Source organism: Homo sapiens, chromosome 2 (assembly GCF_000001405.40).
Source record: "Homo sapiens chromosome 2, GRCh38.p14 Primary Assembly".
In the NCBI taxonomy this organism is placed as follows: Eukaryota; Metazoa; Chordata; class Mammalia; order Primates; family Hominidae; genus Homo; species Homo sapiens.
The window spans coordinates 162,641,229-162,666,592 of NC_000002.12; the positions used below are offsets into that span (position 1 = coordinate 162,641,229).

Sequence of the window (25,364 nt, forward strand, 5' to 3'; positions counted from 1 at the left end):
TAATAGCCAAAACCCATAAATAACAGAGATTACCTTCAACAGATGAACAGTTATACAAACTATGGTACATGTGTATCGTGGAATACTACTCAACAATAAAATGAACTACTGATATATGCAAAAACCTGAGTTAATATGCAGAAAATTAAGCTGACTGAAAAAAGCCACTACTAAAAGATTACATTGTATGTGATTCCTAGGCCAGGTGGCATGGCTCACACCTATAATCCCAGCACTTTGGGAGGCTGAGATGGGAGGAGCCCTTGAGATCAGGTCAGGAGTTCAAGACCAGCCTCCTCAACATAGTGAGACCTTCTCTGTATTTAAAAAAAAAAAAAGATTGCATAGTATATTATTCCTCTTACACAACATTCTTGAAATGACAGAATTACAGAAGTGAAGAACAGGCTAGAGGTCAGGGATTAAGGAAGGGGTTGGGAAGTGATTATACAGGCAAACTAGTTGTGAGGGAAATGTTTTGTATCTTGATTACATCAATGATAATATTCTGGGTGCTATCTTGTAGTATAGTTTTGCAAAATGTTATCATTGGTGGAAACTAGTTTTGCAAAATGTTATCATTGGTGGAAATGGGATCTCTCTACATTATTTCTTACAACTGCATTTTTTTTATAATTATCCCAGAATAAAAAGCTTAATTTAAAAATATGAACATAGAGTCTGAGGAATTTAGATATATTTAATAACTGGAAGGCCTTTCTTAGCCATTTCAGTTTCAATGGAGCCCCAATGGTTATTTTATTTTGTTTGTTCATAAAGAAGCAGGACAACGATCTGGCCACTCAGAGGACATATTTCAAATGAAACTAAAGACTCTTCAGCCCAATAAATTCCAATAGATAAGTATAGAGTACGAGAGTTTTTGCTGTGGTTAAATTCAGGATCTCAAGCCTTAGTATTTTTGCACAATTAAATACTTCACAGTGACGGCTTCTGTCTGGACTCTTAAGGCACTCAATTTGTAATCACAACTCAGCTAGTATATTAATTACAACAATAAATATGTATTGATTATCCCATTTGTTAGGCACTGAGCTAAAACACTGCCTTTACATCATTATCTTGCCATTTAATATTTATTATTTTAAATTTGCATTTGTACATGCTTTTCTTAAAATTTAACATATGAGTTGTACAGCCCTTAAGTTAATTCTTGTCTCTGAATCTTGTCTCTGTATGTACCATGACCCTATTACAAGGTCTTATGTGCAGGAGGCATATTGCACATATTTCTGAGTTACTTAAATGAAAGATTCTCAGTTTAGCTAATCACAGTACTTCCACAGGAAAAGGCATAGCATACATTGTGGGCTCTTGGAGAAATGTATTGTTGTCAATAGTTGAATGATTCATGGAGGACCATTTCTGCTGTTATAGAGCGTCTTTCATTTATATCACACTGTGGTGGCTCCTAGGAGCAAGAGAACACCTGGCAGCAGAAACACCTGTACATATCTGTTGGAAGCCACAGACGTGCTTTAGGGCTGCAGTGACACTTGCCTAACTCAAAATCCACATCATCATGCAGCTGTGTTCTTGCTATTCCTGTAGAATGGAGAGTGGATAGCCAGGAGGCTGGAGGAAGCACTAAGTAACCAGACAAATGCTAAAGAAAACACCACAGATATCCAACTGTATTTAATTTTAAGCTGAAACAGTTTAACCAGGCATAACATGCTGGTCAAATTATGGGCACTAGGGGAAATGTAAGATGAAAGAATGCATATGGTTTGAGAATTTTAAGAATATTTTATGGAGTGCAATGGAGATAAAATAGAAATATTTATGCAATTAAAGCTTGAAACTACACAGCCCAAGCTATTACTTAGAGAAATCCAGACTTAATAGAATTTCTTCCTTTGAAATATTTTAATGACTCTAAGAATTGCCCTTCCAGTGTTTTATGGTAATTTTTATCAAATAATGCTAAGGCTGTTCACCTTCCAAACTTTTTGTATCAAGCAGGGCAGCAGACTGGCTCAGAGCAGCCCCAGGTGATGACCATTCAGACTATTGATTTTTTTTTTTTAGCTAGCACACTGAGGAATTTATCAGAACCTATTTGCAAAAACAAACAAACAAAAAAGCAAAAACAAACAAAAAAACCCAAAAAACAGAAAACAAAACCTCTCAGAATATTTTTTACTCTAATTACACAGTAAATTAAAGTATAAATATTAGGAAAAGTATTTGTGAAAATTTATAGCTGAAATGAAATTGCATTTACATTATGGAAAAAGTAAAGTGGATTTAATTGTTTAAAGAAAAATGATTAACCGCCGGGCGAGGTGGCTCACACCTGTAACCCCAGCACTTTGGGAGGCCAAGGCTGGTGGATCACAAGGTCAGGAGATCAAGACCATCCTGGCCAACATGGTGAAACCCCGTCTCTACTAAATACAAAAAATCAGCCAGGCATGGCGGCGCACACCTGTAGTCCCAGCTACTTGGGAGGCTGAGGCAGGTGAATCGCTTGAACCCAGGAGGTGGAGGTTGCAGTGAGCCGAGATCATGCCACTGCACTCCAGCCTGGTGACAGAGCAAGACTCTATCTCAAAAAAAAAAAAAAAAAAAAAAAAGAAGAAAAGAAAAAAGAAAAATGATTAATTGAGCAGACTGATATATTAGTAGGTAAGAGTTGTCTGGACCTTTAAAAATAGTGACTGACACTCAGGGGATAAAGGGAACATTATAATGGAAAGTTCTAACTCGTTATTTAGTGGGCAAACACCGTGGTTCTTCAGTTTATGGGCTTGGAGTCACCACCATACTGCTCTTTTCCTCTTAACTATCTTTTCTGTGGTATGTTTCTTTCTTACCTGCTTTTCCCTCCTACCCCCGCCCCCCACATCAACTGTCCATGGTAAAAGGAAGTCCTTTGGGCAAATTCAGAAAAACAAATGGACTTGAGGAAAAGACTGCGCTGTATCTGTGCTATTTACAATGACCCACTCAGTATCAACAAATAACCTGTTTCTCTGAAAGGAAATTAGCAAGTAAGAAGTGATTTAAATAAGAAGAAACTGATAGTGGTGTGTCTTTTTAGTACATTAAAGTTTTTCTTTTTTTTTTAATAAAGTTGTCCACGTAAAATAGTTAAAAGTGACTAATGATCCCACCCCAGAAAAATACCCAGTAGCGTTATACATTGGATCTATTTATTTTTATCAGTGAAAAAGCTCCCTTAGTTTCTATCACAACATATCTACAATTCTTTCTGTCCAAAATGGTAAGCTAAGCCATCCTGTCCTGAATATAACCAAAACGGTACTTCAGTGGTTTGAAATCTGACCAACATTAGGATTTATCCAAAGTACAAATATAAGATTTTATCTATCAATACTTCGCTAGTAAGAGATAATGGCCATTCATTTTAATAACAACTTTTAGTTAAGCAGTCACAATTTAGAATAAACTTCTTTTTTTGTACTAATGTGTCACATACCTGGGGGAAGAAACCTCTTTGCTTTGTCTTTTCCAAACAAAATGACACTAATTGCTTTCCTCAGAGGTCCTATTTTTTTCCTTAATTATTTTAGTTTATCTTCTCCAAAAACCTTTAAACCTCCTTACAGCAAGTGAAGACTATATTTAACACACTGCTTCATTAAATCACTAACACTGCAAAATATGCAGAATGCCTATTTAACCAGGGTTATTTGACCTTAGAAAATAACGATCTTGTCAATAAAATTTAGTCAATATATGTGTGTGTGTATATATAAATTTCTAAAAATCATTACCATTTTGCCTACTTATATTTAACTAGTGTTTCTCTGCAATAAGTACAACTTTTCTGCTCTGTTTTAGCAAAATCAGTGTATGTTTGAGAATATTTATGTTTTTAAAAATCCCCATGGCACTACTTTGTTTCACCTCTGCTTGATTTGAGTTTATATTTATTGAAGCATTTTTTTTTAACAGAATTTTGCTCTGTCACCAGGCTGGAGTGCAGTGGCGTGATCTTGGCTCACTGCAACCTCCGCCTCCCGGGTTCAAGTGATTCTCTTGCCTCAGCCTCCTGAGTAGCTGGGACTACAGGCACGTGCCACCATACCCAGCTAATTTTTATACTTTTAGTAGAGACGGAATTTCACTATCTTGGCCAGGATGATCTCCATCTTTTGACCTTGTGATCCACCTGCTTTGGCCTTCCAAAGTGCTGGGATTACAGGCATGAGCCACTACACCTGGCCTATTACAAAATGTAATTTTTAAACAAAAAATTCACCATGGAACAGAGGTACCATGCTGATCTGAGGTCATTTGCAAATTTAGAATGTGTTGAACTCTTATCATCTGTATATCATCTCTATAAACGTTAAAATTAAAGAAGACATTGCTCTTCAGATTTGTGAAATCTTGGGAAACTTTATCTAGACTTTTTTAGGTTATAAACCATGTGTATTTCTCCCCTACTTTCCTAGAGACTGACTTCCTTTGCAAAAGAGGATAAGTCAATTCATTATTTTTCATTATGCATTGAGCATGGGTAGAATGTACAACAGTATCCATTTCCTCCAGCTCTCTGTCCTCTTTCCCAAATGAGGTCACACTGAGAGTTTCTGGTAACACCCAGAGAGTGTATGTTTTCCTGGGAAAGTTTTTACATTGCTGTCCAGTGAGAGAATTTGAACTTCTCATGTAACACATCTCTCGATCTACACAAATCACCCTTTTCCCTGTTGATAAGCCAGTCACAGTTATTTGCCCATCTAATTCTACAAAGGCATAAATGAGTGGTTTCCAAACACCGTGAAATCTATAGGGGCTTGAAAAGATATACAATCCATGTGGTCAAATTATACAAGAACTAGTTTTGTCAACTCAGTGTATACAGCAAAACATACCATGTTTTGAGGATTCAAGCCAGGAAAAACAAGAAGAGAGTTCCAATAAGCGATTTATATTTGCAAATATATTTATGTTTTATCTGTATATATTAGAACTGAGAATGCCCACGTAGGACAGAGTAAGGCCTTACTAAAATACAACACTGTTGCATCTGCTTCTCATACATCAATGTGATCCATCACACTGTAATAGAGGAAGATGAATTTATCTGGTATATTATGCATTTCAGAGCCCATAACCTATGTTGTCCTCTCTACCTATTCTTTTACTGCTTTCTCTTTCTATTCTCCATTTGTTTCCACTCCACACTACAGAACGGCCCCTTCCCTCAAAGATGTCAGCTGTCATCTCCAAAACCTGAAATATAATGAGATACCACTCTTGTGATTGTGTTATGTTGCATGGCATAGCTAAGCATAGCTAACCTTAAGATGAGAAGTTTATTCAATGAGCTTATTCTATGACATGAGCACTCAAAAGCAGAAAGCGTCCTCTAATTGGTGGCTGCAAGGGAAAACAGAGAGATTCAAACTCTAAGAAGGACTTGATGAGCTGTTTCCAGTTTGAAGACAAAGGGGACCATAAGAGAAGAAATGTGGGTGATTTCTAGGAGCAGACAGCAGCCCTCAGATGACAGCAAAAAAAGAAAAAGGGACATCAGATACACAATTGCAAGGGACTAGATGCTGCCAACAACCTGAATAAGCTTGGAAAAGGATTCTTCTCCAAAGGCTCCAGGAAAGAGCCCAGGCTGGGTAACATCTTGATTTTAGCCTTGTGAACTTTGAGCAAAAAACCCAGCTGAGTCCATTCAGCCTTCTAACTTACAGAACTATGAGATAATATATGTGTATTGTTTTAACCTGATCTGATAACCTTGTGGTAATTCATTACCCAGCAATAGAAAACAAATACATACAGACTTTGTCTAAAGTCGGTCAGTAGTACCAATAAATACAGAGGGGCTTCAATGTGGACTTCCCAGGGCCATGAGGTTGCTGGCTCCAAAAAGAAAAGATAGAGAACCTTAGTTTATGTGTCCACCTAATGGCATGGGTGTCATGTTAATTAGTTAAGTAGTTCATAGCCCAAACTGCTAAGAGATTTACAGTTGCCCAGGGTTGCCGCAGTCTCCTAAACTAACTCAACCAGGGCTCTGACGTGTTTTTTTGTGTGTTGGTGTGTATGTGTTCCAGTGTGTTTTGTGGGAATAGTTATACTTAATAGCTACAGTAAAAAGCAGCTAGCCCCTATTACATATGAGGCTTTCACAGTATGTAGGATTAATTGTTTAAAAACTATGGGGGTCATCCCTAAATTTGTGTGGCCACATTTACAGATTCTTTATGTTTATATCCTAATATGGTTGGCTGTGTCCCCAACCAAATATCACCTTGAATTGTAATAAGCCCCACATGTCAAGGGCAGGGCCAGGTGGAGATAATTGAATCGCGAAGGTGGTTTCCCCCATACTGTTCTCGTGGTAGTAAATAAGTCTCATGAGATCTCATGGTTTTATAAATGAAAGTTCCCTAACACGAGCTCTCTTGCCTGCCACCATTTAAGACGTGACTTTGCTCCTCATTTGCCTTCCACCATGATTGAGAGGCCTCCCCAGCCACATTGAACTGAGTCAATCAATCCTCTTTCTATTATAAATCACCCAGTCTTGAGTATGTCTTTATTAGCAGTGTGATAACAGACTAATACATATCCCTTTGTAGTTTGTGATCCAAAAAACCCTAAACACCTTGGGAATAAGAACTATGTTGTATGTATTGTCATATCCCTAGTTTGCCTGTGGTGGGTACTAAATAAACAATTATTGAATTAATGATGTTCATAAAGATAAGTAAATCATAGGAGTTAGAATATAGGATCTGGAGTCAAATTCTGCATAATATTGGTTCATAAGAAGTGATTGGTAAATGCTACTAATGAATTACCTATTATAAACTTGCAGTATTTTTCCATTAACTAAACTTTAACACTGTAGTAGTCCATTCTCACACTGCTATAAACAACTACCTGAGACTGAGTAATTTATGAAGAAAAGAGGTTTAACTGACTCACAGTTCTGCAGGCTATGCAGGAAGCATGGTTGGGAGGCATCAGGAAACCTACAATCATGGTGGAAGGCAAAGGGGAAGCAAGCACATCTTCACATGGTGGGAGGAAAGAGTGAAAGCAAAGAGGGAAGGGCCACACACTTCCAAACAACCAGATCTCCTGAGAAGTAACTCACTATCATGAGAACAGGAAAGGGGAAGTCCGCCCCCATGATTCAGTCACCTCCCACCAGGTCCTTCCTTCAACACATGGATATTACAATTTCACCTGAGATTTGGGTGGGGACGCAGAGCCAAACCATATCAACCACATCATGCTAAGCTCTCCATGGTCTAGCCTACAATACATTTCCAGTTTCCTCTCTCTCTACTTTCTCCATGTGCCTGTTAGCATTCCATGAATACACATCTCTGTGCTTTTGCTTATGCTTTTTCTCAGACTAGAATATTCTTTTCCTTCCAATCCATATCTTACTTTTTAAGTCAGGGGTCGACAAACTGTGGCCCAGAGCCAAATCCAGGTTTCCACCTGTTTTTTTATGATTTTGTCTCTTGGCCTATAGAGTCTTAAATATTTACTATCTAGACCTTTACCACCCCCCCAAAAAAATTTTGCTCACTCTTGATTTAAGATCAGTTCAAATGCTACCTTCTTTAAGAGCTTACCTAAATTTTTCTGGGTGGTGGGACGTGAGGTGGGGGAAGATACTTCTCTTAAGTTTCCAGTAGATGTCTTATAACCATTTTAAGCACTCATTACACATTTGCTTACTTATGTCTACATATAAAATGCTCAGACATGATTCTCCAGGTTTTGGCAGGACATTGTTTCACATGTCATTCTTGACAATGAACAATTAAACATACATCAGTATTAGGTAATAACAGAAGTAATAAATACAGAGTTCATGTTTCAGGAAGATGGAAATTTCATTAAGACTCTATTTCCACTATCAATTATTAAATAAATTCACCTAAGTATTTTCTTCCTCTAATCTATTCAACAGGAAACCTCAGAGAAAGAGCATGTTCTTTGTTATGCATGAATGGATTTTGAAATAACATGCACCAAAACCTTTTTTTTGTATGCTGAAGATTTCCTTAAGATTATATCAGAATAATTATGTCACAAGACTTTTTGTTTTGAGAGAAGCTTAACTCTACACAAATGGTAAATTGTTAGAGAATAAAAGTATGCCAAACATTTGAAAGTGATTTTTACTTTTAGATCTGTAATAACAACTGTCTAGTGCTATTTTGTATTCAATGAATTTGTAATATTTACTTATTATTTTGAAGTTATTTAAATATTAACTCTCTCCTGATAAGTCACATTGCCTGTGTATAATAGTACAGCATGTGTTTTCTTGTTCTGTGTGCTGACTCTTAGAGATTTCTCATGAGATCTCAATACGACAATGGCAGAACCTGAGAACAAATCCTATAGAAATGGGTCTTGATCTCCCATTTCTGCATGAAAGACTTCTGTGATCTGTTGCCATTGTATACTGGTACCAGAGAGAGAGAGAGGGAGAGAGAGAAAGTGGAATTTTCAGAGGTTATTTTCAACTCAGAACATTTACTCTAAGTTAAAAGGAATTCTTCAATCTCTCTTTGTTGGGTCAGTAACCGAGTATAATTAAACATAGCTACATTTACCTTCATATATACAACTAAGCAGCAATAACAATATATCATTATTGTAATGACACCAGGTTATTTGATAGCATGTGATACTCATATAAGACAGTTAATATATTCCTAATATATTGGGCCATTAGGTAAAGCAAAGGAATGCAGTAAAGACTGAAGAAAAACAGTTGCTTCCAGCTTTACGTTCTTACAGCACTTAAATAAGCTACAGAGTTTGACCTTTTACATATTACATGCTATTTAGCTCATTGCTATTATAGATCTTTAGTTTGATTGTGGGCTGGCAGCACACGGGCATTATCTTATATTTCTTAGAATCACTTAAGCCTAGAATAATTTCTGGCACATGGTAGTAATTTGGAAGGTCTTTAGAGAATTCAGCATGGCTAAAGCTTTTCCACACTTCTCCATGGTCAAAAATAATGTAATAAAGTTACCTCATATGTCAATAAAAATGCTTCATAATTGTTTCTATGATTGTATAGTTAAAAATGATTTTTTTGTGTGAAGATATGTATGAGCCAAAAACTTATGATTTTGGTAGTTCATTTGTAATTCTATAGCGAATCTTTTACATAATTTAGGATCCAGTTGTTCAGGAATATTCTTGAGGGCTATGTTTCAATATATGATATCTACAAAAGTATGAAAGAAGCTAGCAAGAAATTTTGGCATATGCTGCTACCATGAAGGGAAATTTTCCTTTCCTCTTCATTGGATCAAGTCTTATTCATTCCTCGCCTAGGTTCAAATGTCACCTCTTCAGCAAAGCCATCTCTGACCTTCCTGAAAAGGTTAAATTCTCCTGTCAGGTACTCTCGCAGCACTGGGTAATTCTCCCTCATGGAAACTAACTCAGTTGCCAATTTTCATCCCATCAGCATGACTGTTTATTTGATGTCTGCCTCCCCTACTAGACGTTCAGCTCTACCAGAGCAAGGGTTGTGTATGCTTTTGTACTCATTCTCCCATATAATATCTGATACGTAGGAGGCATTCCACCAATATTCAGTAAGTGACTGAGTAAATAAACAGAAGAGCCTGTGAACTCACTGAGGCTCTGTCAGCAGGTAGGTACGTATAACTAAAGCCACACTCTACCCTCCAAAACTCTGAGAAGAATCACACCATGAGTAGCATTCAGAGATAGCATATTGAAAAACATGAATAATTACTTATTGTCTTGAAAAATGCATGCTTTCATGTAAAGGAGGACTGCTAAGTTTTTGAAACACTTATGAAGGACTAACACTGCCCAAAGGTATACTGACCATTTTTTATTGGTAAAATGTTCTGTATGCATGTCCAAGATTAATTCTGAAATATGGATACTATAAAATGTAAGAGAGAAGTATCTTAGTGCATAATTTTTGAAACAGGATTTAAAAAATAAAACTTTTATTTTAGGTTCAGCAGTACATGTGAAGGTTTGCTACATAGGTAAATTTGTGTCATGGGGGTTTCTGGTACAAATTATTTCATCAACCAGGCATTAAGCCCAATACCCAATAGTTATCTTTTCCACTCCTCTCCCTCCTCCCACCCCACCCCCAAGTAGGCCTCAGTGTCTGTTGTTCCCTTCTTTGTGTTCCTGAGTTCTCATCATTTAGCTCCCACTTATAAGTGAGAACATACGATACCTGGCTTTCTGTTCCTGTGTTAGTTTGCTAAGGATAATAGCCTCCAGCTCCATCTGCAAAATACACAATCTTTTTTTTAATGGCTGAATAGTATTCCATGGTGTATATGTTCTACATTTTCTTTATCCAATCTGTCATTGAAGGGAATTTGTGTCGATTCCATGTCTTTGCTATTGTGAAGAGTGCTGCAATGAACATTTGTGTGCATGGGTGTTTACGGTAGAATGATTTATATTCCTCTGGCTATATGCTCAGTAATGGGATTGCTGGGTCAAGTGGTAGTTCTGCTTTTATCTCTTTGAGGAATTGTCATACTGCTTTCTACAATGGTTGAGTTAATTTACACTCCCACCAACAGGGTAGAAGTGTTCCCTGTTCTCTGCATCCTCACCAGCATCTGCTATTTTTTGGCTTTTTAATAATAGTCATTCTGACTGGTGTGAGATGGTATCTCATTGTGGTTTTGATTTGCATTTCTCTAATGATCAGTGATATTGAGCTTTTTTTCATATTCTTCTTGGCCACAAATATGTCTTCTTTTGAGAAGTCTGTTCATGATCTTTGTCCACTTTTTAAAGTTTTATTCTTCTGTAAATTTGTAAAACAGGATATTAAAGAAAAATGTTTTGTTTCCCACAAACTTCATAGTTATTTTTCATTTTAATTAGGAAAATTACAAAGCAGTGAAATTTGAGTTTGTGATATGGGGGAAAGAGCCGAGACTTAATAATCTAAACTGGTATGTTCAAAACTACACATTAGCAGTGTATTCTTGGGAAAAATCTAAACTTTTGAAGCCTTTAACTTACCTTCCTGAAAATGGGAATGATAATAATACCATTTAGCAAGACTTTTATGATGATTACATGAGATATTTTGAAAAACAAGTATACAGAAGCAGCCCTCAACCTTTTTTGCCACCAGGGACCAGTGTTAGAAAGACTTGGACGGGGTGGTGGAGAGTGTGGGGGGAGGGGTAGTGTGGGGGATTGTTTCAGGATGAAACTGTTCCACCTCAGATCATCTCAGATCATTGGGCATTAGTTAGATCCTCTCATGAGGAGCACACAACCTGGATCCCTTACATGTGCAGTCCACAAGAGGTTTCACGCTCCTATGAGAATCTAATGCCACCACTGATCTGACAGATGCAGAGCTCAGGCAGTAATGGTCGCTCATCTACCACTCATCTCTAGCTGTCCTGCTGTGTGGTCCAGTTCCTAACAGGCCACGGACTGTCACTTGTCCATGGCCCGGGGGCTGGGGACCCCTGTTGTACAGTAATAGTGCACTTTAGATACTTTATAAACACAAGTTCCAATTTTGACACTTTCATAACAAATATTTATAAAAAGCTGCTTTTCTTTATAAAGCATACACATTTTTAAAAGTATTTAAAAGCTGTAGATTGTTTGAATGAAGGTAGATGGATGTCAAGCAATCTGAATCTGGATAAAACCTTCTTTCATTTTTTGAATTAACGTAGCTGCAGATACCATTGAGCGGTAAGGCCTTACTTTATGCCAAAGGCCTTACTTTTTCTCATCTAATCCTCATGGAAACCCAGAGTTATAATTCCATTTCACTTGGGGGAAACTGAGGCTTAAGGGAAAAGCCTAACTAAGCTCTCGATTTAGAAGGTATGATGTTGAACCTAGTAAAACTATGCCACCTAACTACATATTCCTGTTGTTTATTGTGTTTATACAGATACTGTGATGAACTCAACAGAAATTATTGATTGACATTTCTATTAAGTATGGTACTGGAAGTCCTAGTCAGATAAATTAGGCAAGAGAAAGAAATAAAAAGCATCCAACTTGGAATGGATGAAATTAAGTTGTCTTGTTTGCAAAGGACATGATCTCAGATTTCACTAAAAAACTATTAGAACTAATAAATTAATTCAGTAAAGTTGTAGTATACAAAAATCAACATACAAAAATCAGTAGCAGTTCTATACATGAACAATGAACTATCCAGAAAAGAAATCAAGAAAACAATCTCACTTACAATAGCTTCAATAAATACATTTAACCAAGGAGGTGAAAGATCTGTACACTGAAATCTATAAAACACTGATGAAAGAAACTGAAGATGACATAAATCAATAGAAATATATAGGGTCAATGCAATCTCTATCAAAATTCTAATGACATTTTTCACAGAAGTGGAAAAAAAATCCTACAATTTGTGTGGAACTACAGAAGAGCCCAAATAGCAGAAGGTATCTTGAGTAAAAAGAAAAAAGTTGAAGGCATCACACTACTTGACTTCCAAATATACGGCAAAGCTATAGTGACAGAAATAGCAAGGTACTGACCTAAAAACAGATACATGGACCAATGGAACAGAATAGACAGCCCAGAAATAAACCCACACATTTATGGTCAATTGGCACAAAAGTGCCAAAAACATACAATGAAGAAAGAACAGTCTCTTCAATAAATTATTTTGGTACAACTGGCCATCCACATGCAGAAGAATAAAATTAGACCCTTAAATCAACACCATATACAAAAACCAATTCAAAATGTATTAAAGACTTAGTTCTAAGATCTGGAACTCTAGAACTACCGGAATAAAACATAGGAAAAAAGCTCCATGACCTTAGTGTGAGCAATGATTTTTTTTTTTTGAAATGACCCTAAAAACACAAACAAAAGCAAAAATAGAAAAATGGATGAAATCCAAAAAAAAAGCTCATACATAACAAAGGAAACAATCATTAGAGTGAAGAGACCTATGGAATAGGAGAGAATATTTACAAACCATACATTTGATATGTGTTTAATATTCAAAATATATAAGGAGCTCAAACAACTCAATAGCAAGTAAATAAATAATCCAATCATTTCAAAATGAGAAGAGGCTCTGAATAGAAATTACTCAAAAAAAAACATAGAAATGGCCAACAGGTATATGAAAAAATGTCCAACATCACTAATCATCAGAGAAAGGCAAATTAAACCCACACGAGATACCACCTCCTACCTATTAAAATGGTTTTTATAAAAAAGATGAAAGATAATAAGTGTTGGTAAGAATGGGGAGAAAAGGAAAACCTTGCACACTGTTGGTGGTTATGTAGATTGGTACAACCATTATAAAAAATGGTATGGAAGTTCTTCAAACAACTAAAAGTAGAATGACCATATGATCTAGCAATTTCACTCCTATATATATATCCAACAGAAATGAAATCAGTATGTCAAACAGATATCTGCACTCCCTTGGTCACTGAGCATTATTCACAATAGCCAAGATATGGAATCAACAGATGAATGGGTAAAGAGAATGTGGTATATATACACAATGGAATACTATTCAGCCTTAAATTGAAGGAAATTCTTGTCATTTGCAACAAATGGATAAGCCTGGAGGACATTATATTAAATGAAATAAGTCAGGCACAGAAAGACAAGTATTACATGGTCTCAATTATGTGTGGAATATAAGAAAGCTGAACTCATAGAAGCAGAGAGTAGAATGGTGTTTACCAGGAACAGGGGAAGGGGAGGAGCAGGATTAGGAGATGTTGATCAAAGACAAAATTTCAATTAGACAGGAGGAATAAATTGAAGAGATCTACTGTACAATTAGGTGACTACAGTTAATAATAATTTATTTTATTATTGAAAATTGCTAAGAGAGTAGATTTTGTGTTCTCACAAGAAAAAATAGGTATGTGAAGTAATGCATACATTAATTAGCTTGAGTTAGTCATTTCCTAATGTATACGTATTTCAAAACATCATGTACATAATGAATTTATATAATTTTATACACACATGCATTTTATCAATTAAAAAATAAATTGATCAATTAAAAAGTTTATTATTCCTCTTTTCAATGTAATAAATATTTTTAAAGATATTGATGAAATTTTAATATTTTTAAAGCATCGAGATTCAAAGTCAGACAGATCAAGGTTTTAATCCCAGCTCTGCCATTTATTTGTGGTGAAATCTTGGACAATCTAAAGCTTCATCTGCAAAATGAGGATAATAATATCTGGCTCATAGAATTATTGTGGTCTGGCCGGGCGTGGTGGCTCACGCCTGTAATCCCAGCACTTTGGGAGACTGAGGTGGGCGGATCACGAGGTCAAGAGATCGAGACCATCCTGGCCAACAAGGTGAAACCCCATCTCTACTAAAAATAAAGAAAAAAAAAAATTAGCTGGGCGTGGTGGCGCGCGCTTGTAGTCCCAGCTACTTCGGAGGCTGAGGTAGGAGAATTGCTTGAACCTGGGAGGCGGAGGTTGCAGTGAGCCGAGATGGTGCCACTGCACTCCAGCCTGGTGATAGAGCAAGACTCCGTCTCAAAAAACAAAAAACAAAAAACGAATTATTGTGGTCATATTTTGAGATAGCATATCAATTCGTAGCATAGTTCCTGATACATCGATAGTTCTCAAAAATACTTGTCTTTAATAATGATAATAACAATGACATCTCTAGTATACATCTCTCATAGGAACAGCTCCCTGATCAACTATTTGGCACAAATAACAACAATATAATACATTTTAAAAAGATACAACTATGTACATCTACAATCACTTAAAATTATTACTTTATGTGTCAAGCCCTTCAAAAAGATTCCATTGTACTGTATATAAATTTTGTAAAACATGAAAGTCAAGCATATTTTAAATGTTCTCTTTTGAAATTTGAAAGATCTGTGTGGATAGCTAGTCTGTTGTAAATACTGTCTTGGAAGTAAAACATGATGCCTGTTTTTCTAGAGAAACAGAAGCACAAACAATAAATCCACTGACTTGTTTCTATACAACCTTCATGTTAGTCTTCTAAACATTCTATAAAAAGACTATATAGATCATAAAGTCTGTAAAGACCATAAAATAGTGGTATGTATATATACACACATGCACAACATAATACATGAGGAGTAAGGGTATAGAAATGTGTCTCAAATTCAGTTTTCTGTTGCTCTATCTCCTTGACTTCCCCTAACTTTCTTATCCATCATTTTTTGTAAGAAAATAAATCATAAATCGAAAGCATATAGAGAATATGAGGAAGCATGAAAAGTCATTACGCTGATTTAGTGAAAATGATGAGAAAGGAGAGATGAGCATAAAAGTAGCAAAGTAACTATTCTCCTTTCCACTTCTATGAGACTGCACCCAGGGTATGTTATTAGGACACTACATTTTGGTTGACATGTTTGATGATATGGTAGAAAACAAAGTTTTGGTCATATGGTAGAAAACAAAGTTTTGCAATATAAGCATATTGCATCAATGATTAATTTTGAGGCATATTTGCTGTGGAGCATCAAAGGAGAGTAGAAAAATACAAAGGAAAAATGCAGAGATTTGTTTGGCTAGATTTAGTTTAAAAGAAATACTGATTATTGCAAGCTCAAGCATTGCAAATTCAAATGACTACAGATAAGAAAAATGAGAAATGGGCTAAGAAGGGACCATGGCAATTTAGAAAGCATGTCTCCTTTAAAGGTGCTAAGGCAGCTTTAGCAGATTGCTGCTAGAAAATGGGATTCTTATGCAAAACTGCCACTTAAATATACTTTATTATTTAGAGCAGTTTTAGATTCACAACAAAATGGAGCAGAACGTACACACAAGTACAGCCTCCTCCACTATCCACAACCTGCACCAGATTGGTACATTTGTTATAATGGATGAACCTACATTGATGTACCATCATCATCCAAAGTCCATAGTTTACTGTTAGTGTTCACTCTTGGTGTATGTACACTTTACAAGTTTTGAAAAGCTATAATGAAATATATCCAGCGCTATAGTTTCATAGAGAATAGTTTCACTGCACTAAATAACCTCTGTTCTCCACTCTATTCATCTTCCCCCTTTCCCTGAGCCCTTTGCAACCACCGATTGTTTGACTTTCTTCATGGTTTTTCCTTTTCCAGAATGTTTTACAGCTGTCATCTCACAGTATGTAACCTTTTCAAATAGGCGTTTTCACTTAGTAATATGCATTTAAGTACCTTCTTAAACCATGTCTTTTCATGGCTGAAAGCTTTTTATTACTATTTATTTATTCAGCTTTTTATTGCTGAATAATATTCCATCGTATGGATGCACTACAGTTTATTTATCTGTTTACCTACATAAAAAATATTTTGTCTGCTTCAAGTTTTGGCAATTATGAATAAAGATGCTATAAACAACTGTGTACAGGTTTCTGTGTGGACATATGTTTTCAACTCATTTGGGTATATACCAAAATGTGTGATTGCTGGATATATGTAAGTGTATGTTAGAAACTGCCAAACTGTCTTCCAAAGTGACTGTACCATTTTCCATTCTCATTTAGGTTTACGATCTCCACAGTAATTAATTCAAAATGAATCATAGAACTAAATATAAAAGGCAAACTATAAAACTCATAGAAGATAACAAATAACAAATTCTAGATGGCTTTGGTATTACAGACTGGAAGTTTGTGGCATTCCTACAAATATATAAGTTGAAATAATCATAACCCCCAATGTTATGGCATCAGGGTGTGGGGATTTTTGTAGGTGATTAGGTGATGAGGGTGGGGATCTCAGGAATTAGATTATTGCCTATATAAATGATACCCTGGAGAGCACCCTCATTCCTTCTGCCATGGGAGCACACAAGAAGAAGACGGCCAACTATAAACCAGGAAGGGGGTGCTTACCAGACACCAAATCTACTGGTACAGGCTCAGCTTTTTTTTTTAATTATTGTTATTTTTTTATTTGTGTGGACATCCAGTTTGTCTGGCATCATTTGTCAAAAAGACAATGTTTTTCTCCATCATATTGTTTTTGCTCCTTTGTTAAAGGATAGGTGACTATATTTGCATGGGTCTAATTCTGAGTTCTCTATTTCATTGCATGGATCTGTTTGTTTATTCTTTTGTCAATATCACAGTCTTGATTACTATAGCCTTACAGTATGTCTTAAAGTTGGGTAATGTCAGTCTTAGGACTTTTGTCTTCTCCTTTAATATTGAATATGATGTTCTGGGTCTTTTACTTTTCCATATAAACCTTAGAATTAGTTTGTTGATATTTATATCAACAAATAACTTGCTGGAATTTTGATTGAGATTGTGCTGGTTTCACAGATCAAGTTGGCAATCTTCCTGTCTATGAACATGGGGTTTCTCTTCGTTTATTTAGCTCCTCTTTGATTTCTTTTGTCAGAGTTTTATAGTTTTCCTCATGTAGAGGTTGTATATATTTTGTTAGATTTATAACTAAGCATTTCATTTTTGTGGTGTTAATGTAATTAGCATTATATTTTAAATTTCAAATTCCAATCATTTATTCTTGGTACATAGGAAAGTGATTAACTTTTGTACATTAGCCTTGTATTTTACAACCTTACTATAATTGCTTATTAGTTCCAGGAGGATTTTTTAGTTAATTCTTTTGAATGCTCTACACAGACAATAATGCCATCTGCAAAGAGAGTTTTATTTCTTCCTTCCCAATTTTAAAGCTTTTATTTCCTTTTCTTGTCTTGTTGCATTAGTTAGGATTTCCAGTACAAGCCAAAAAAGAATGACATGAGGAGACACCCTTGCCTTGTTTCTAATCTTAGAGGGAACAACTACTAGTTTCTTGAAATTAAGTATAATGGCAGCTTTAGATAATTTTAGATGTTCATCAAGTTGAGGAAGTTACCTTCTATTGCTAGTTTGGTGAGAGTTTTTATCATGAGCAAGTGATAGATTTTTACAAATGCTTTCTCTGTATCTGTTGATTTGATCATTTAACTTTTCTTTTTTAGCTTGTTGATGTGATGGATTCCATTAATTGATTTTCAAATGTTAAAGTAGCCTTGCATATTGCATACTGGAATATAGTCTACTTGATAGTGGCATATAATTCTTTTTTTTTTTTTTTTGAGACTCAGTCTCGCTTTGTCACCCAGGCTGGAGTGCAGTAGCACAATCTTGGCTCACTGCAACCTTTGCTTCCCAGGTTCAAGCAATTCTCCTGCCTCAGCCTCGTGAGTACCTGGGATTACAGGCATGCGCCACCACACCTGGCTAATTTTTGTATTTTTAGTAGAGACGAGGTTTCACTGTATTGGCCAGGCTTGTGTCAAACTCCTGACCTCAAGTGATCCAGCCCAGCTCAACCTCCCAAAGTGCTGGGATTACAGGCATGAGCCACTGCGCCTGGCCAATAGTGGCATGTAATTCTTTTCATACATTGTTGAATTGAATTTGATAATATTCTGTTGAAGTATTTTTTATCTATATTCATAAAAGATATTGGTCTCTAGTTTTTTTTCTTGTAATATCTTCATCTGGTTTTAGTATTAGGGTAATGATGGCTTCATAGAATATTAGAAGGTATCCCTGCTACTTCTATCTTCTTGAAGAGATATAGAGAATTGTTATAATTTCTTCCTTAAATTTCTGGTAGAACTCACCATTGAACTCATCTAGGCCAGGTATTTTATCTTTTGGAAGATTATTTTCTTTTTAATATCCAAGGAATGTGTAGTGATGTCTCCTCTTCCCTTTCTGATATTAATAATTTGTGTTTTCTGTTTTTATGTAGTTAGCCTGCCTAGAGGGTTATCAATTGTATTGCTCACTTTAAAAAACCAGCTTTTTGTTTCATCGGTTTTCCTCTATTAATTTCCTATTTTCATTTCATTGATTTCCACTCTAATTTCGTTATATCTTTTCTTAGGCTTACTTTGGATTTCATTTGCTCTTCTTTTCTGGTTTCCTAAAATGGATAATTAGATTATTGATTTTACTTATTTCTTCTTTTCTAATATAAGCATTCAATGCTACACATTTCCCTCTAAGTACTGCATTCTCTGCATCCCACACATTATGACAAATTCTGTTTTAATTTCCATTTAGTTCAAAGTCTTTTTAATTTCTCTTAAAATTTCTTGTTTGACCCATGTGTTATTTAATCCTCAAGTACTTGAGGATCTTTCAGTTATCTTTCTGTCATTAATTTCCAGTTTAATTTCTTTGTGGTCTGAGAGTATCCATTGTACAATTCCTTTTATTTTAAATGTGAAGGTATGCTTAATGGCATAGAATGTGTTCTATTCTGGTGAATGTCCCATGTGAACTTTAGAAGAATGTGTATTCTGCTGTTGTTGAATAAGTATTCTGTAGACATTAATTATATTCAATTGGTTGATGCTGCTGTTGATTTCAACTATACCATTCTGGAATTTCTGCCTGTTAGATTTGTTCAAAAACTCCTAATTTTTCAGTTTAGAAATTAATTCAGTTATTTTTTATACACTGTCAAACAAACAAAAAACACCTGCTTGAAATATTACAATGTGTTAAATCTAACACAACCTTTAAAATGGTATATGTCGAAATAAACACCATGAGAAGTTAAACTATCTGTTTATCATACAGCTACTTCAAGGTGGGACTGAGAAAAAGACTTAATTTATTAGATACCAGTAGACCCCAGTATTGTCTCCTCTATACCACGCTTCCCAGTGATTGTTAACAACAAGTTCTGTACAATAAGATAGCCCTTTATTTGACAAGGAATCTATCTTACAGTAACTTTTAAAATATTTGATTTATTATTATTTTGAAGAAACTACCACACATTAAAATTATTTTCAAAATGTTTTGAAGAATGATACATTCCAATGCAAGATTCAATGTGACAATATTACGATTCCAGTGCCCTAACCGTACAGTGTTATAGCTCAGTTGCTACCTCCTGCCTGCCAATAGAGAAGTGCTCTGTCAATGCAAACTCTTTGGGTCTTCACCTGTTAGGAAAAATAAAATCAATTTTTATCCCTCAAATTTTCAGGAGGTTACCAAAACAGTTCATTCCTGTTTTCAACAGGAATTTGGAAAGGTAGAGAATTCAGTGTGGAAGAAAGATCATAGCAAGAAAGAAAGTTTATAAAAGATAAAACAGATGTTAAACAGAAAGTGGGGTATTGCATCTTTAATAAAATACAGTGAAAAAAATAAATATGGTTGGGAATCTTTAATTTTTTGAGAGCGTTATTTATATTTATGAACATGAAAGGTCATTGTATGTAATAGAAGATTATTTATGAAAGTGTCTGTAAGGCGTAAAAACCCTAAACGTTTCCCTATATCCAAATGAGGTGTGTCAGTTGTTGATATCGTTGATACCTTGGAGGCTCAATGTCTGTGGTATAGACAGGGATCTGTGAATTCTGATACATAAAAAATGTCTCGGTAAGAAGCTATTTTAGGTAATGAAAATATCATAAACTTCATGGGATAAAGGTCATGTAATATTGAGAAGGAGATACTACACATTTAGAAAAGGAAATGAGAAGAAAGAGCAATCCAATGACACTGACAGATGTTTCCAAAGAACTATTGCATCATCTCTTTTTCAGAGTCTGCAGAGGTTATAACAGGTCCTGATGTTGGGTTTTTTAAATTATTTTTTATTTTTTGTTTTTTTAAATAAGGGAGCAATTCCAAACTCTCATATTATTGTTGTATGATGCTTTTTTCAACTTTAAAGAAAATTAAGCTGGGCGCAGTGGCTCACGCCTCTAATCCCAGCACTTTGGGAGGCAGAGGTGGGTGGATCATGAGGTCATGAGTTCAAGACCAGCCTGGTCAAGATGGTGAAACCCCGTCTCTACTAAAAACTACAAAAATTAGCCGGGCATGGTGGCGCGCACCTATTGTCCCAGCTACTCGGGAGGCTGAGGCAGGAGAATCGCTTGAACCCAGGAGGTGGAGGTTGCAGTGAGCCACAATCGCGTCACTGTACTCCAGCCTGGGTGACAGGGCGAGACTCTGTCTCAAAAAAAGGAAAAGAAAAGAAAAGAAAAGAAAATTAGATTGCATTAAAATTCTGATTTTCCATGTAGTATTGATGACAGTAAAATGCATTCATTTAACACACTACTTACACACTATTGTGGATTTCACATATATTTGTGAAATATATATGCTTCTATTTTCAAATAAGCTTGTTTTAGGCAAAGCAAATTACAGACAGATACCTGAAATACTAGTCAATCAATTTATATGATCTATGTAAAAACACAGTTTTATCCTGTGTGCCAAAAAAGTCTTTGATTGTTGTGTTCATTAGAAATTAGCAAATCTAGTCTGTCTGCTATTTCAGAGTCTTTGCACATCTTCTGTCTGACAGGAACATATAAAAGCTCTCTCTTTACAGCTAGTTCCTTTAGAGGTCCTCTGTGATCACCCTCCTTTCTTTGATCTCAGTAAACTGTACTCTTCTTTATAGCCCTTGTTTGCTTGCTTGTTTACAACTGGTTTCACCTAAAAGTGTATAAACTCCATTAGAATAAGGAATAAGAATGTTTATTCACCATGATTGTGTGCACAGCTTTTAATAAATGCCTGGCAATTATTATGTGCACAATAAATATTTGTTCTGAGAATAAGTAAATGAATAAATATGAAATAGCATAAAAAGCACTGAATTTGAGGTCAAAAGACTTGGGTTCTTCTTACTCCTCTGATGCCTTTCCAGCTATATAAGCCAATTATTTATCTTGGCCTTATTTAATAGGTGAGAATAGGGATATAAAAGTAAGGCTTCTCTTACATGGTGGTTATTAGGATGAAAGACAATCAATGAGAAGTGTAAGCACATGATAGGTTCGTGGTAAACCTAGTTGTTATTAAGGTTGTGTAGCCATGGGTAATTCATCTGTAAAATCAGTAATTGCATTATTGTGAAGTGACAATATGATTGCTATGAGTTTTGTGCCTGGCACAGAGTAGGCACATGGCAGACGTCTGTTGAATATGCATTTTAAGACACTGTATCCTGTAATATTAATTTCAATACTCACATTTTACCTTCTTGTGTTTGAGAAAAAAATTTTACATTTGCAGAAATTTTTCTTGTTATGTTTTCATCAACATCTGTTTCTTTTTCATATTTAGCTTTATTTGAGGATATATTTTGATGATAATTCTTGATGATTTACTAATGACAATAAATTCAAGTTGAATTTCTCTTTTTCACTTTCCTCTTACAGTAACACATGATTCTGATTATCACTAAATTCTCCTTTTTCATGTAGTGCTGATTAGTTTGCTCTTTGAGAAAGCCATCATTAACTGTTGCCCCACTGTGAAAATTTTCAAGATAATAAAATGATCAGCTGTCAAGAGTGAATAGAAATTGAAATGCAAATCTAAACATTTAACCTGTGTAGGGAAAAGCATTCTGAATAAGCTTCATCAAACCCTAATATTAGTATTGAAAATAAGTAGCATCAGACAATATGATAATATTACAGTGATGAAATGGCTTGGATGTCTCAAAATGGGATAGAAATATCAATGTAAAACACTCATTACAATAAATTGAGCTATGTAAATTGTTTTGAGTATCAAGGAAAGGTGAAACAGAAGCGATTTAAAATATAATAGCTTCCCAGGAATTTGTTAAGAATCACTGCCTTACTGCAGAAACCATGACAAATCTGCAATATTTTCTGTCCGGATTCACTGATTTTTAGCTGACCTCCTCTACTCATTTCTACCAACTCAACTTTCTTTCCAAGACCATGCCAATGCTATAGTCTGCATTCTCTGCAAATTCTCCACATTGGTTCCTCTGTTTAGTTGCCATCTTTCCCCCTGATCTTCATTTCTTTCTCTTTCCATGTCATTCCCCCTCCTCTTTCTGCCAACTTGTCTTCACTTTTTCTTTCCAACTGTTTTAAATTCAAGACACCCTTTAAGAACTTTACAAATGTTATTGACCCTTTCTCCAGAGAAGTGCATATGTGCACATATAACCTCTTTCACTTTTAATTTTAGAGGATTCTTAGACATCCTAAAGCCTAATCCTGGATAAAACTCCAGGTGAAAAATTGTGTTAGCAATTTCTTCCCAATTCTCAAAGCAGTAGCAACAGTTACCATTTATTGGATAACTGTCATACAGCAGGTGCTATGCTGGATATCTTTTATTCTTTGTCTCTAAAACTCACAAGCCTCATTTAACAGAAGATGACATTGAATGGTAAAGAAGTTAAATAATTTGCCCACTGATACACAATTAGTTGATAGTGAAGTTGGGATGTGAATCTGAATCTAATTCTAATTGCATCCTGTTCTTGCTGCACTACACTGCTTCATGAGACTTGGTGAGAAGAGGAAGGAGAGACAGAGAAAGTAATTGAAATATCGTAGATTACAATAATAAATTGGAGTTTGTATAAGGTATTAGTTATTCCATATGCAATATATGATGTCCTTTTATATAGAAGTATTAGGTAGGGATGGGCAATATTGTTTTCAGTTAGTATACAGTAGATATACATACTGATTGTTAAATATTGAAAAAATGTATTTACCAGTCAAAGTGTTTAACAGAAAAGATTCAGCATTAAGTTCCCCAAGTGCTCTTCTTATGGCTGATCTGGCTTCCCAGCCCTTCACAAAGGACATATCACTATTATAGGGCTAAAACTTGTTTACATCAGGCCCCAGCTATGGCTAGTTCAGATGTGGAGATGTTAAATATTTTGAATATCACTCTTGGTCTTTCTCTACTTCTTTCTTAACTAGTCATACTCAACTCATTTTGTAATCATTTATTATTAACTTTGAAAGTGTACTTCTATTCCTATAAAAGCATTATGAAAAGTGAAAAAAAATTCTTTGGATTTTGCTCACAATTTTGATATGTATTCTGAACTTCATTTCTCATTTCTTTTTATAAATTCTGTAAGAACACAGATGATTTAAAATAATCTTGAAAAAATCTTCTATCACACAAGTCATGTCAAATTGCAATTTGTATTCTTTTATTGTCTTACCACTATTGAGTGTAAAAAGCAAACAAAATCCTCATTTTTATTATAGGTATATTGAATAAATCCAAAGTCACAGTAGAGGATTTTGGATTGTCTACAAATAAGAATGAGCTTGTTTATAATTGAGATTTTAAAAACTTACATAGACTCTAAGAACACAAGATTTTAAATATAGCTCACTAACATATTTTTTATGTATTTTGATGAAAAGTTATGTTTGGCACCAAAAATGTGAAATTACCAGAAAAAACTAAATTTGTCATTTCATAAATGGAGTTCTTTTTCTAATACCTCTCTAAAAAACTGATGATAGAAAAATTTTCTAAATACTAATAAAAACTGTTGCAAACTAGAAAAAGAGAGACTATTCCTAACCTGCTATCTTGTATAAGCAACTCATTCTTGGGTTGTTACTAAGAAAATCTTGATCACTCTCTACTTCTAATTATCCAATGATTTAATAATCAGGTATTTTGCTACATGGATCCTATGCCCTGATTAATTTTCTTTAGTCTAATTAAATTCAATTAAACTATGCAGGGAGTCATCTTCGCTTCTTTGCATATTTTTTCCTCACCAACTCTAACTAGCCTCCTTATTCTTCCTTAGTCTCATCAAATTTGCTGCTTCAAAGCATTCACAAATGTGATAAGGTATGTGAAAACTAGTATTTTGCACAGCATGGTACACATATAACACTGATAGCGATTCAAGGGTATAGAGAAAAACTTTTTTTCATTTTTATAATTATATTCTTTATTTTAGTGTAGATTAAGAGAATAACAAGAATTACCACATCAAGGACATCCTTTCATGAAAATTATTGCTTAGAATGAGTTTAGGAGTTTAGATCCTCCATTACCTTGTGCTCTAGAAGGCAACTAAACTTAAACCAAATAGGGAGGCCAGTTGTCCCTTGGTTTGCAATCACTTCTATATTCCCTAATTTTCAGCACTAATGTCATCATGCCTCACACTTCTGTTCACTTCCAACAGCGCTAGAAGCTCAACCATCTTGGATTCTCTAACATCTTATTAATTATCATCTTCCAAATATTCCAAATACTCCATACAATCCCTAATAAATTCTGCCCCCCGCCCCTCCCCACAACTTCCTTCCTAAACCATTTCACAATACTTTTGAGAATTCTCACTGCATCCAAAGAACGTGTCCTTCTATCTTCAAACTCATCTATGATTTTCTTCACTTCCATACTCTTAGTGAAAACTTGATCTCTCCTGAGACTATTGTTCCCCTGCTATGTTCAAATAAAACCTAGGGTGCTTTTTCTTTTCTTTTTCTCCCACACCTCATGTGCCTTTA

At 35.2% G+C, this 25,364-nt stretch overlaps 1 protein-coding gene across 7 annotated transcripts in view; it reads right to left on the reverse strand.

Annotated features, from left to right (window-relative positions):
* The window catches only part of KCNH7 (potassium voltage-gated channel subfamily H member 7), a 467,361-nt gene that overhangs the window by 269,822 nt on the left and 172,175 nt on the right, over positions 1 to 25,364 (reverse strand). The window lies entirely within an intron of this gene.